The sequence below is a fragment of the Homo sapiens genome, chromosome 3, assembly GCF_000001405.40.
Source record: "Homo sapiens chromosome 3, GRCh38.p14 Primary Assembly".
In the NCBI taxonomy this organism is placed as follows: Eukaryota; Metazoa; Chordata; class Mammalia; order Primates; family Hominidae; genus Homo; species Homo sapiens.
The window spans coordinates 145607843-145622772 of record NC_000003.12 but is presented as its reverse complement, the minus strand read 5'-3'; the positions used below and the strand labels follow the sequence as shown (position 1 = coordinate 145622772).

General features: G+C 36.5%; 1 annotated feature.

Annotated features, from left to right (window-relative positions):
• Nucleotides 4768-5267: an enhancer, noted in NCBI's record as "H3K4me1 hESC enhancer chr3:145335293-145335792 (GRCh37/hg19 assembly coordinates)". NCBI's record gives its function as "activates a minimal SCP1, AML or CMV promoter by ChIP-STARR-seq in primed H9 embryonic stem cells {active_cell/tissue: H9 hESC(primed)}" and the evidence as "EXISTENCE:reporter gene assay evidence [ECO:0000049][PMID:30033119]".

Genomic DNA, 14930 nt, shown 5'->3' with positions numbered 1-14930 from the left:
GAAAAGGCCTTGGATTTGTTCCAAAATCCTGAGGGCCTCCACTCTTATTCTCATCTCTGTAAGTTCTGCAGGCCTCATACAATACCTTCGTCCTTTATAGATATTTGTAGTAAAATTAGATACATTGGTTTATAAACATCAAAGAGCACAATCTCTTGCATCTGGTTTTGCTCTGACTTCTACTTAATGCTGGAAGTCAATCAAAGCTTCTATAAATGTGCAAAACCATTGCATCCACATGTAGAATATTTTGCCTTCAAAATACAGAAGATTAGCAAACACTATTCCTCTCTCCTGTGGAATGAAGAGGTGAAAGGTGGACTCAGAACCAGAGAATTGATATAGCTTTGAGGTTAAAAACAATGACAAGGTACTGCTCTCCTAGTAAGATGGGTTTAGAGGAAGGAGACACTATTTCTGTCATTTTCTGGTCATTAAGATAAAGACAATATAATCTAGCTTAATTCTGATAGTTTAATCTCTGATAGATTTTTAATGCAAGAAAATTAAAGTTAATGCTGGAGTACAGAAAATGAAAATATCCTGAAATAAAGTATTATAAAAATATTTTTAAATGATTTTATGACATTACAATAAATATATCAGAAAAAAGATGATTTGATATAGAAAGAATTGAATGATTCAACTTTAATCTAATAAAATGCTTATTTTATGACTACTTGTGGATGTTAAACTCTTCAAGATCCAACCATCTTATTTGTGAAACAGTTTTAATGCTAACAAATATTATAAATATTAAATGTTTCACTTATTTTATTTACTTATTTATTTATTTATTTTGAGACGGAGTCTCTCTCTGTTGTCCAGGCTGGAGTGCAGTGGCATGATCTTGGCTCACTGCAACCTCTGACTCCCGGGTTCAAGTGATTCTCCTGCCTCAGCCTCCTGAGTAGCTGAGAGTACAGGTGCGTGCAACCATGCCTGCCTAATTTTTTGTATTTTTAGTAAAGACGGGGTTTCACTATGTTAGCCAGGATGGTTTTGATCTCTCGACCTTGTGATCCACCTACCTTGACCTCTCAAAGTGCTGAGATTACAAGCGTGAGCCACCGCACCTGGCCTAGTTATTTTTAAAGTATGATATAATCTAGTAGATTAATGTTGAGGGAGTTTACAAAAGAGTTACCATTTTTGATGTTTCTGCATCAATCTATATATTTTTGATATGATTAACTTTTCTTCTCTTACTTGACTCTTTCTAATATTCCTTATAGCCAAATACTTAATTGTTTCAGAAATTTCAGAATCCTATGTAACTATCTATAATGCAAAGACAATAAATTGCAATAAAAGTCAGAAGATGAATCTGATTGAATAAGTTATTTTTAATTTTTTTTCAGAAGCTAGCTCTTAATTTAACAGAGACAAATGCAGTGAAGATGAACAACAAGTATTTTGTAATTAATGAATGGTAAAGTCCTCTCTCTCCCAATAGATACAAAGGATAAAGAAGAGATAAACAATTCCAAAGAAAACAGATATCCTGGTAGATATCCCTTGAAATCAGCATGCATTTCTAACTGTCCCAACTCTCCTCCTTTAAGACACCAAAAGTTGCCTTCGATTTAAATCTAACACATACCTTCATCTGAAACTGGTACTATTGCATACCAAGTCATTATAATTTATTGCTTACACTGGCAAACAATGCCTTTTCTCCCCTTTTTTTTGTATTGAACCATATTTGAAGTGCAATGAATTTAAAGTGCATAATTTGATCAATTTGGACACATGTACACAATTATGAAACCATAACCACAATAAGAATGATGAACATTTTCATCACCTTCCAAAGTTTTCCCATATCTCTTTATAACCATCCCTCCCTCCTCTCCATCCCTAGGCAAGCATGGCTCTACTTTATGTCACTATTAGTTTTGAGATTCATCAATTTCTTCATTATAAACATTTTATTATATGAATATACTAAAATTTGTTTACCTACTCACTTGTTGATAGACATGTTTCTATTATTTTGACTGTTACAATTAGAGCTGCCATGAATATTTGTGTAGAAGTGTTTGTGTGGAGATATGTCTTCTTTTCTCTTTGCTAAGTGCATAGGAGTAGAATGCAGTATATGACAGCTTAATTTTCCTTCACATCCTCCTTTTCAACATTTGATAAGCAGCTTTAGCCATCATAATGTGTGTAGTGTATAGACTATCATGTTGAGCACCTTTTCATGAGCTCATTTGTCATTCACAGATCTGCTTTTGTGATATGTCTCTTCAAATATTTTTCTATTTTTAAACTGAGTTGTGTGAGATTTTTTGGTTTCCTGACAGGAGTCTTTTTTTCTGAAATAAAAGGAACAAATATTTTCTACCAGTCTATACTTGAGTAGAATCTTAAGTGATCTACCTGCTTTATTCTTTTTTTTTTTTTCATTAACTCTCAAATTATCAATTTCAGGTCAATGTCCAGCTTAAGAGTCTCAAAAGTTTTCACTTTGTCCTTAGAATACAATTCAACTTCCTCACCATTCTCCACAAGGCTTTATGTAACCTGACTTCTGTCATGTTTCCGGTCACATCTCCTCCCACTTGTTCACTCTGTGCTTCCACCCACCATGTGTTCTTTCTGTGCCTGACACACCAGACTGGCTCCTGCTGTAGGGGCTTTATTCTCTCTGCCTAAAACGCTCAACTCAGACTTTCCCTCTCCCCTTCATATCATGCAGGCATCTGCTCGAATATGAGGTCTTCCCTGATTGCTCCAAATCCATCCCACTATACTTCAGTCACACTATTTTTTTATATTCAAAACACTTAACAAGAAGCTGAAATTATTTTATCCAGCTTTTAAACATTCTTTTTCTGGCTACCCCAACTAGAACCTAAACCTCATAAAACAGAGACCATTTCTACTATGTTCACCACATATCTTTATTACCTCCAACTACACCTGGTATAGGAAGAGCTCAATCAACAATTGCTAAGTGAATGAAAATTAATAACAGCTGCATAACAGTCAATGGTATGCTGGAACAAGCTTATTATGGCTCAGGGAGCCAATCCTGTGCATCTCTCCCTGAATCTTCATTCAGAAGCTTCACTTGGTTGGCATGAAGTAGGTTATGATGAAAATATTTACACCACAGAAATCAGCAAATGCCACAAATTAAGGTTTTTTGTTGTTTGTTTGCTTGTTTGTTTTATTAAGGCCTAGTTGTTAAATATTTACTGGCACACTTAAGATTATAGTAATTTTACTGAATGTTTGTTGACTTATCTTTGTTGAGTTCCCTTTGGACTATCAGAAGATGCTGGTTTGGTGACAGGAGCTTGGAGTTTGTTACCAGGAATCGTGGAAGGAGAGTGTGGCATAATTGGTGAGGGTTCCTGGTAGCTCAACTTTTTGGTAGCCTTACTTGCAGTACTCCACAGTGTCTAGCTACTTGGAGGAAGAACCTATCTTTCCAGGTCTCTTGGCCACATTCACTACTTTATCTTGGAGGTAAATGTCATTGTTACCTTCTGTCTAACGATGACATGGTATAGGCTCCATGGCTCAGATTCTGGAATGTACAGTCCCAGTGATGGCTGCCCTAGGGTCCTTTTTTTTTTTTTTTTTTTTTTTGAGACGGCATTTTGCTCTTGTCACCGAGGCTGGAGTGCAATGGTGCAATCTTGGCTCACTGCAACCTCCATCTCCCGGGTCAAGCTGTTCTCCTGCCTCAGCCTTCCAAGTTAGCTGGGATTACAGGCACCTGCCACCACGCCCGGCTAATTTTGGTATTTTTAAGTAGAGACCAGGTTTCACCATGTTGGCCAGGCTGGTCTCAAACTCTGGACCTTAGGTGATCCAACCGCCTCAGCCTCCCAAAGTGCTGGGATTACAGGCATGAGCCACCGCGCCCAGCCTCTTCCTTTTGTTATTCATTCACTTTTGGCTGAGAAAAAGGTTTGCTTCTGCCTAAAAAAACAATTCTCTCCTTTGCATACTTTCAGCTTTGGTTTACTATTAAAATGTTATCATTTTCTTATCAATTCTATTCTTTTGGAATTCTATAGTTTGTGAATTCCTCACAATTCTTATTCTATGCATAGCACTGTTAATTTTATGTACTCAAATTGAAAAGTATTGTTAACTCAAGGAATTGAGGTGGGATAAAATATGCATACTTCTGTGTAGTGGGCTATATAATACAATGGTGTAATGTGACAACTTAAAAGTGGGATATAAATGAGTTTTGCAATAATGTGTCATACTTTATATTATTTAATACTACTATATTACTTAATAAGAAACTAATAGTGTCTCAGTAGAAGGAGCATATTTGAGCTGGCTAGCTAGATTTTTAAGCTTTCCAATTTCCAGGTCTCTTCTACAATTAAAAATTAGTCTGTATAACAAACTAGAGTGAAGCCAATACTTTAAAGTTTATTTATTATTTTATTTCCTTGCAGTTACTTTTAAAAAATGTTTTGAAAATAAACTTAATCTCTTGGTTCTTTGTCTGTCAATGACAAGGAGAAACAAGGAAAAAATGATAAATCCTTGCTTAGTGAACCAGAGTAAAATGAAACCATTCAGTCATTTAGCTTATATTACCAAGTGTAAACTACGATGCCTTCATAAATATCTATCTAATTCATTTTAGTATACATGATGGATTTGCCTAATCATTCACTTTGAAATTATGGTTGACAAATAAATTATATGAAGAATCCATTCAACTGAGTGAGAAACAACTTTCTAAAAAAAAACTGAATGTATGTGGATCAAGATTAAATGCACAAGTTGGCAATGTGGATAAGATTAGAAGCAGAGGGTTGAGATATTTTGTGCTTGAAAATACGAAAATGTCAGCGGGTGGGGCCAAGATGGCCGATTAGAAACAGCGGCCTTCCGAGGCTCCCATCCAGAAAAACCATAATAAAACTGTGAATCCTTCACTGGCAACCAAGGTATCCAGGTTCTCTCATCAAAGCTGACTAGGAGGCTAGCGTGACCCACAGAGAGAAGGAAGAACAGTGTGGTGCGGCGGCCCACCTGAGAGTCACACGGGGCAGAGAAGCCCCCTTCCCCCAGCCAAAGGAGGCAGTGAGTGAGCATGCTACCCAGCCAGGGAAAGCGTGCTTTTTCCACGGAACTATGCAACCCATAGATTGGAAGATCCCACTGTGAACCCACACCACCAGGACCTAGTGTCCCAACCCTAGAACCCCGGAACATGCAGATTTGCAACAGCCTCTCAGCTGGAATCTGCTTAAGGCTACTGAACTGCCGGCGAGCGGCAACCAGCACCGCAGCTGCAGCTGCCTGCTGTCAAAGCCATTTATTTGAGCTCCCTGGGGGAGGGCAGCAGCCAGCACTGGAACTCGGAACTGCCTAATATGCTAAGCTCCCTGGGTGGGGAAAGGGCGGCATCTATCTCTATTGCTCCAGGCTGAGCTTTTCCCCTGCTGGAGCCAGGGAGGCTGGATGGCTTGGGCCCAAGACTTGTTCCCCACAGCCCAACACACCATCTGTGGCAGTCTGTGGCCAGAGTGCTTCTTCAGGCCTGACCCTGACCCATCCTTCCTCATTGGTAGGTGCTTCCCTGCAAGAACTCCAATAACTCCAGCCAGAGGCTCAGGGACAGAACCTCGATGTCTCTGGGCCTGAGCTCCTAGGGAAAGGGGTGGCCGTAGTCTCTCTTGACCAGCAGACATAGCCTTTTCCTCCGGTAGTTCTGAGAAATCCAGGCAGCCCTGAAAAGTGGGTTTCCCCACAGTGAGGCACAGCCCCTCCACCAAGTAACAAAGTCTTGTTAAATGGGTCTTGTTCCCCATGCTACCCAACTTGGGTGAGACCCTCCAACAGGGGTTGTCAGACACCCTATACAGGAGTGATCCTACTGGCATCAGCTTGGTGCACCTTGAGGTCAGAGGTCCCAGAAGAAGAAGCAGGCACCCATCTTTGCTATTCTCTGGACTCCCATGAATGACATCTCTAGGCACAGGAGCGAATCAGATGAATAGGGCCTGAAGGGAACTCCCAGCAAACTGCAGCAGCCCTACTGAAGAGGGACCTGACCATTGAAAGAAAAACAAACAAGCAGAAAGCAACAACAACAGCATCAACAACAACAACAAAGTCCCCACAAAAACCTCATCCAAGGGTCAGCAGACTCAAAGACCGAAGCTAGACAAACTCAGGAAGATAAGAAAATGAAAAAATCCTGAAAACCCAAAAGGCCAGAGTGCCTCTTCTCTTCCAAATGATCACAATATCTGTCCATCAAGGGCAGAGGACTGGACGGATGATCAGATGGACAAATTCACAGAAGTAGGCTTCAGAAGATGGGTAATAAAAAACTATGCTGAGCTAAAGGAGCATGTTCTAACCCAATGCAAAGAAGCTAAGAATCTTGATAAAAGGTTATAGGAATTGCTAACTAGAATAACCAGTTTAGAGAGGAACATAAATGACCTGATGGAACTGAAAAACACAGGATGAGAAGTTTGTGAAGCATACACAAGTATTAACAACCAAGTCAACCAATCGGAAGCAAGGATATCAGAATTTGAAGACCACTTTGTTGAAATAATCCATTCAGACTAGAATAGAGAAAAGAGAATAAAAAGAAATGGACAAACTTCCAAGAAATATGGGACTTCATAAAAAGACACAACCTACAATAGATTGGAGTACCAGAGGGATACGGGGAGAGTGGAAGCAAGCTGGAAAACATGCTTCAGGATATTATCCAGGAGAACTTCCCCAATCAGCAAGACAGGCCAACACACAAATTCAGGAAATACAGAGAACACCATTAAGATACTCCACAAGAAGATCAACCCCAAGACACATAATCATCAGATTCTCCAAGGTCGAAATGAAGGAAAAACTGTTAAGGGCAGCCAGAGAGAAAGGCCAGGTCACCTACAAAGGGAAGCCCATTGGACTAACAGTGGACCTCTCAGAAGAAACTCTACAAGCCAGAAGAGATTGAGAACCCATATTTAACATTTTTAAAGAAAAGAATTTTCAACCCAGAAACTCATATCCAGCCAAACTAAGCTTCATAAGCGAAGAAGAAATAAAATCTTTTTCAAACAAGCAAATGCCGAGGGATTTTGTTACCACCAGACTTGCCTTTCAAGAGCTCCTGAAAGAAGCACTAAATATGGAAAGGAAAAACCAGTCCCAATAACTGCAAAAACACACCAAAATAGAAAGACCAATGACACTATGAAGAAACTGCATCAACTAGTGTGCAAAATAACCAAATAGTAGCATGATGGCAGGATCAAATTCACATATAGCAATACTAACCTTAAATGCAAATGGGTTTAATGCCCCAATTGAAAGACACAGACTGGCAAATTAGATAAAGAATCAAGACCCATCTCAGGCCCAAAACTCCTTAAACTGGTAAGCAACTTTCTGCAAAGTCTCAGGCTACAGAATCAATGTGCAAAAATCACAAGCATTTCTTTACACCAACAACAGACAAGCAGAGAGCCAAATCATGAGTGAACTCCCATTAACAATCACTACAAAGATAATAAAATACCTAGGAATACAGATAACAAGGAATGTGAAGGACCTCTTCAAGGAGAACTACAAACCACTGCTCAACAAAATGAGAGGACACAAACAAATGGAAAAACATTCCATCCTCATGGATAGGGAAAAACAATATTGTGCAAATGGGCATACTGCCCAAAGTAATTTATAGATTCAATGTTATTTCCATCAAACTACCATTGACATTCTTCACAGAATTAGAAAAAAATTATTTTAAATTTCATATGGAATTTAAGAAGACCCCATATAACAAAGACAATCCTAAGCAAAAAGAATGGAGCTAGAGACATCAGGCTACCTGACTTCAAACTATAATACAAGGCTACAGTAACCAAAACAGCATGGTACTAGTACCAAAACAGACATATAGATGAATGGAGCACAACAGAGACTTCAGAAATAACACCACACATCTACGACCATCTAATCTTCAACAAACCGACCAAAACAAGCAATGGGGAAAGGATCTCCTATTCAGTAAATGGTGCTGGGAAAACTGGCTAGCCATAAGCAAAAAGCTGAAACTGGACCCCTTCCTTACACCTTATACAAAAATTAACTCAAGATGGATTAAAGACTTAAATGTAAAACCCCCAATTATAAAAACTCTGGAAGAAAACCTGGGCAATACCATTGAGGACATAGGCATAGGCAAAGACTTCATGACAAAAACACTAAAAGCAATTGCAACAAGAGCCAGAATTGACAAATGAGATCTAATTAAACTAAAGAGCTTCTGCACAGCAAAAGAAACTATCATTAACCTACAAAATGGGAGAAAATTTTTGCAATCTACCCATCTGACGAAGATCTAATATCCAGAATTAACAAGAAACTTAAACAAATTTACAAAGCAAACAAACAGCCCCATCAAAAACTGGGCAAAGGATATGAAGATACAGTTCTCAAAAGAAGACATTTACGTAGCTAACAAACATGAAAAAAGCTCAACATCACTGATCATCAGAGAAATGCAAATCAAAACCACAATGAGATACCATCGCCAGTCAGAATGGCTATTATTAAAAAATGTCAGGAAACAATAGATGTTAGTGAGACTGTAGAGAAATAGGAATACATTTACACTGTTTGTGGGAATGTAAATTAGTTCAACCATTGTGGAAGACAGTATGGAATTCCTCAAGGGTCTAGAACCAGAGATACAATTTGACCCAGCAATCCCATTACTGGTTATATACGCAAAGGAATATAAATCATTTTACTATGAAGACACATGCACATTTATGTTTATTTCAGCACTATTTACAATAGCAAAGACATGGAGTCAACACAAATGACCATCAATAACAGAATGGATAAAGAAAATGTGGTATATATACACCATGGAATACTAAGCTGCCATAAAAGGAATGAGATCATGTCCTTTGCAGGGACATGGATGAAGCTGGAAGTCATCATTCCCAGCAAACTAACACGGGAACAGAAAATCAAACACCACATGTTCTCACTCATAATTGGGAGTTAAGTGATGAGAACACATGGACACAGAGAGGGGAATGACACAAAACAGGGCCTGTTGGGGGGTGGGAGATGAAGGTAGGGAACTTAGAGGATGGGTCAATAGGTGCAGCAAACCACCATGGCACACCTATGTAAGAAACCTGCGCATTCTGCACATGTATCTGTTTTTTTTAGAAAAAATAAAAAAAATACAGAAAACTCTATTTTATTTTTCACTGATTAAAATTATATATGTGTGCAATCAATTATGAGGTAATAAGAAAAAGAGCAACTCTGGTAAATATTTATGTCTGTAATTAAATACTATATCAAATTATAAATTCTTTGTAATAATTTGTGTAATTTATTATAAATACATTTATATATATAATCTCCACTTTGTATTCATTAATGAGTTTTATTAAAAACTAATTGATGCTCACTAAAGATTTGAGGAAAATAGGGATAAAAATAATAAAAAGCATCATATTCCTGCAACTTTTAAAAAAGCAACAAAGTACTATTTTAACATGTCCTCCTTTGGGCTTCTTTTTAAGGCACACACAGTGGTTGTATTAGTCTAGGTTTTCTAGAGTAACAGAACTAATAGGATAGATGTATATATAAGGGGGTGTTTATTAAGGAGTATTGACTCACATGATCACAAGGTGGAGTCCCACAGCAGGCTGTCTGCAAGCTGAGGAGCAAGTAAGCCAGTGTCAGTCCCAAAGCTGAAGAACTTGGAGCCTGATATTCAAAGGCAGGAAGCATTCAGCATGGGAGAAAGATGTAGGCCAGAAGACTAAAGCAATCTAGTGTTTCCATGTTCTTCTGCCTGCTTTTATTCTGGCCATGCTGGCAGCTGATTAGATTGTGCCCACCCAGATTGAGAATGGGTCTGCCTTTCCCAGTCCACTGACTCAAATGTTAATCTCCTTTAGCAACACCCTTACAGACACACCCAGCAAAAATGCTTTGCATCCTTCATTCCAATCAAGTTGACATTCAATGTTAACCATCATAATGGTTTTCCTTTGTCTTTCTTCCCTGTCCGCAATGTAATTCATACATACTAACATAATTGGCAACATAAAATTTCATGGTAAATTCTGACCAGTGGGACAGTTTTTCCAAGTAGTTACATGTGCCCCACTACATGCTTATTTCTCAAATAAAATATACTAAATTATAATAAGATTGTTTACATTTTTATCACTAAATTGGAGCCTCAATCTCTTAATATTTTTATGAGTGCATTGTGTATCAAATTTCATCATGCATAATTTTATTAGATGATGGCTCTTCTCAGAACTGTGCATAGTTACAGATCAGTAAAGTAGTTCAAAACAATGTTGTTGCTTCTACATCATCTTCTAAAATTGAGCTACTCAGAGGAGGCACTTTTGTTTTATTTTCTCTTTTGTTTTCATTTTTGATTTTTCTCCATTCCTGACATTATGGGGAAAAAAAAGAGTTACGTAAATATTGCAGTGTTTAAATATCTTGACAGAGATAATCCAGAAAGTAGCAAAAATTTACATTCAAATGTGAATCGGCTAAACCTGAATTCCATTCATTTTATATTACAAGTTTAATTAAATAAATAATTTAGTGAAAACAACACAAAAATTTATCAGCATTTGTTTCATTGATTTTTAAAGATTTGCATCAGCTAAGGTATTCAAGGGTCTTCCTTTTTGTGAGACATTTAATTTTCTTATGTTCTTCAAAATCTGCTAATTCTGTTCCCAAAAAGAAGGTGGTGCTTGATTATAGATTCTATACATCTGATTGAACTTACAATAATAAATAAAACTCAATGTAGCATATGTTTTAATAATTTTTATACAAAATGTAATGATTTTATTCAATATATAATGCTAAATCATAAAACATTAAATCATAATCTCAACTTTGACTTTTTCACATTAGCATGCCCTTAAAGATATGTCAGATAGAGGAGAGGTGAGGGATGGTGAATTAAATTCTATAGCAATTATCACCCTACAGAAGAGTCAATTTGAATAACTATTCACGTGTGGAAATATATTCATAAGAGCAGAAAAAAAAACACAGGAGCTATCACAGTGCCTGGTTGTAGCACAATAAGAAGAAGATATGGATTTAAGAGGGTAGAAAGAACAGTTTTACATTATTCGTATCACCCCTACCCCTACCCAGGCAGGACATCATGGAGAGAATTATTATCCATTTAGGAGAAAGAGAGGAAAGTGAGAACAGGACTTTGCCTAGGACCTCAACACTGGGCCAGCCACAGTAAAACCCAGTGCCAGGCAGATCCTCATGATCCTGCATTCCAGGCCAGTATTCATGGACTGAGACTATGGACCTTCCCTGGCACCAGGTTAGCCCACAAAGCCCTAGGTTTCAGGCTTATATAGTGAACTTGATCTCCAGCCTGCACCATCACTAGACCAATATCAATGACCCTGGGCTCCAGAAAGCCCTCAACATCAGGAAGTCATCAGCAGTCTTCAGCAGTCCTAGGACTCTGGCTAATCTCAGCATTTCACCTGCCATAGCAGCTTCAGGTTTCTGATGCTGGCTGGAGCTGCACTGGGCTTCTGGTGCAACCCGGTGCCACACTGACTGCTGGACTTTCCCAGAGAAAACCAGTCTGTGAAGGCTAATAAAAAATTAATAGAGAGATTGAAATAAAAATTATAAAAATCAAAAATCAAATAGGAATGCTATAGCTAAAAAAAATACAGTAAAAAATATAACTGCAACAAGGAGCATCAATGGCAGAATTGATCAGACAGAAGAAAGAATCTGTGAACCCAAACAAAATTTATCTTAAAATGTAAAGTCAGAGGAGAATAAAGAACAAAAGAATGTCAAAAGTGAAAAAAGCTTATAGGACTCATGGGACAGCATCAAAGGAGCAAATATTTTTCTTATAAGAATTAAAGAAGGAAAAGAGGTAAAGAAGAAGAAACTTGTTTGAAAATAGTAGCAGAAAATTTTCCAAACCTGAAGATCTAAATATAGAAGTAGATGAAGGTCAGTGGTATCCAATCTAATTCACTTCAAGGGGGATTAGCTCTACATATATTACAGGTTGCATATTCTTTGTTCAAAATAATTGGGGCCAGAAATGTTTTGCATTTCTCATTTTTCAGAAATATTTGTAGATAACATACTGGTTGAGCATTGATAACCTAAAAATTCAAAATCTAAAATGCTCTGATGAGCATTTTCTTTGAGCAACATCTCAGCACACAACAAGTTTTAAATGTTTTAAAATTTTGCATTTTAGATTTTTGAATTAAAGGTATTTAACCCATATAATCAGATTTTCAAAGATCAAAAACAAAGGGGAATCTTGAAAGCAGCAAGAGAAAATAAACAAATAATATATAAGAGAGTTTCAATATGGCTGGTAGCAGACCTTTCAGCAGAAACCTTATACTCCAGGAGAGAGTGGGAAGATATATTCAAAGGGCTGGAGGCATACACACACACACACACACACACACACACGCACACATACCTGTCAACCAAGAATACTGTTCCTAGAAAAATAGTCCTTCAGAGCTAAAGAAGAGATAAAAACTTTCCTAGACCAAGACAAGCTAAAAAATTATCACCACCAGATGTATCATATAAGAAGTGTTAAAGGGAGTTCTTCAGGCTGAAAGAAAATGACACTAATGAGTAACACAACAACGTCTGTATAAAATTCACTGGTAAAACTAAGTGCACAATCAAATTTACAATATGCTAACAAAGTGATAAAGGTGTGTAAATTATGATATATTGGTATAAAGTTTAAAAGACAAAGCTACTAAAATACTAATAGCTAAAATTATTTGTTGAGGAATATGCAATACAAAAGAATTAAATTATGACACTAAAAATTTTAAATGTGAGAAGGGAAGTAGAGTAAATTTGTAGAGTATTTTTGTTCCTGCTTTGTTTTAGTTTCTTTTTTTCAATCAAAGTTAAGTTGTCATCAGCTTAAAATAACCTATTATAACTATAAGATTTATTTAATACATTTCAGAATCAACACAAAGCAAAAATCTACAGTACCTACACAAAAAATAAAAGCAAAGAATCAAAACATCGCAAAAGAGAATATCACTTAGCTGTAAAGGAAGACAGCAAGACAGGAAAAAAGGAACAGAGGATATTAAAACAACAACTAAAAAACAATTTACAAAACGATAGTAGTAAGTGCTTACCCATCAATAATTACCTGGAATGTAAATGGATTAAAATTACCCAATGAAAAGACACAGATATACAAAAAAAAAAAGACCCAGATATATACTGTCTACAAGATACTGATTTCACTTGTAAGGAAACAGATAAATTGAAAATGAAAGGATGAAAAAAGATATCACACATAAATGGAAAACAAAATAATCCAGGAACAGCCATACTTATATTAAATAAAATAGACTTTAAGTTAAAAACTGTAAAAAAAGAAAAAAGTCATTATAGAATGAAAAAGTAATCAATTCAGCAAGCTGATGTAACAATTGTAAATATATATGCATCCAACATTGGAGTACTTAAATATATAAAGTAAATATTAATACATTGGAAGGGAAGAATAGAATATGAGACAATATCAATATGAAACTTTAACATCCCCACTTTTAGCAATGTACAGTTCCTTGAAACAGAAAACAAAACAAAACAAAACAAAAAAAGTTAGGCTTAAAGTACATTTTATACTAAATGTTCCTAACAGAGATATACAGAATATTCTATCCATAGCTGTAGAATACACATTTTTCTCATTGACACATGGAACATTCTCCAGGACAGGGCATATGTTAGCCCACAGAAAAACTCTTAACAAATTTAAGAAGATTAAAATTGTATCAAGTATATTTTCTGATAATAATGAGATAAAATTAGATATCAATAACAGGATACATTCAGAAAATTTGCAAATACATGGAAATTAAACATGCTCCTGAAAAACCAGTATGTCAATGAAAAAATTAAAAGGAAAATTAAACAAATTTCTTAAGACAAATGAAAATGGAAAAACAAAATATGACAACATATGTGAAAGAGCAAAATCATTTCTTTTTTTACCTCTACTATTTTTTTTTCTTTCCAACTTTTATTTTAGGTACAGCAGGGTACATGTGCAGATTTATTATATGGATAAAGTGCATGTTGCAGGGGTTTTGTGTACGGATTATTTTATCACACAAGTAATGAGCCCAGTACCCGATAGGTAGTTTTTCAATTCTTACACCCTTCTTACCCTCCATCCCCAAGTAGGATCTGGGGTCTATTATTCCTGTCTTTGTGTACATGTATACTCAGTGTTTAGCTCCCACTTATAAGTGAGAACATGTGATATTTGGTTTCCTATTCCTACATTAATTCACTTAGGATAATGGCCTCTCCAGCTCTGACCACGTTGCTGCAAATGATATAATTTTGTTCTTTTTTATGGCTGCATAGTATTCCATGATGTATTTGTACCACATTTTATTTATCCAGTCAACCACTGATGGGCAGCTATGTTGATTCCATGCTTTTGTTATTATAAATAGTGCTATAATGAAAATGTGCATGCATGTGTCTTCATGGTAGAATAATTTCTATTTCTTTCATTATACACTTAGTAATTGGATTGCTGGATCAAATGGTAGTTCTAGTTCTATTTTAAGTTCTTTGAGAAAGCTCCAAACTACTTTCCTCAGGGACTGAACTAATTTACATTCACACCAGCAGCATATAAGCATTTCCTTTTCTCTGCAACCTTGCCAACATCTGTTATTTTTTTGAGTTTTTAATAATAGCCACTCTGTTGTGAGATGGTATCTTACTGTGGTTTTGATTTGCACCTAACGATTAGTGATTTTGATCATTTTTTTATATGCTTCTTTGCTATGTGTATGTATTCTTTAAAATAGTGTCTGCTCATGGGTTTT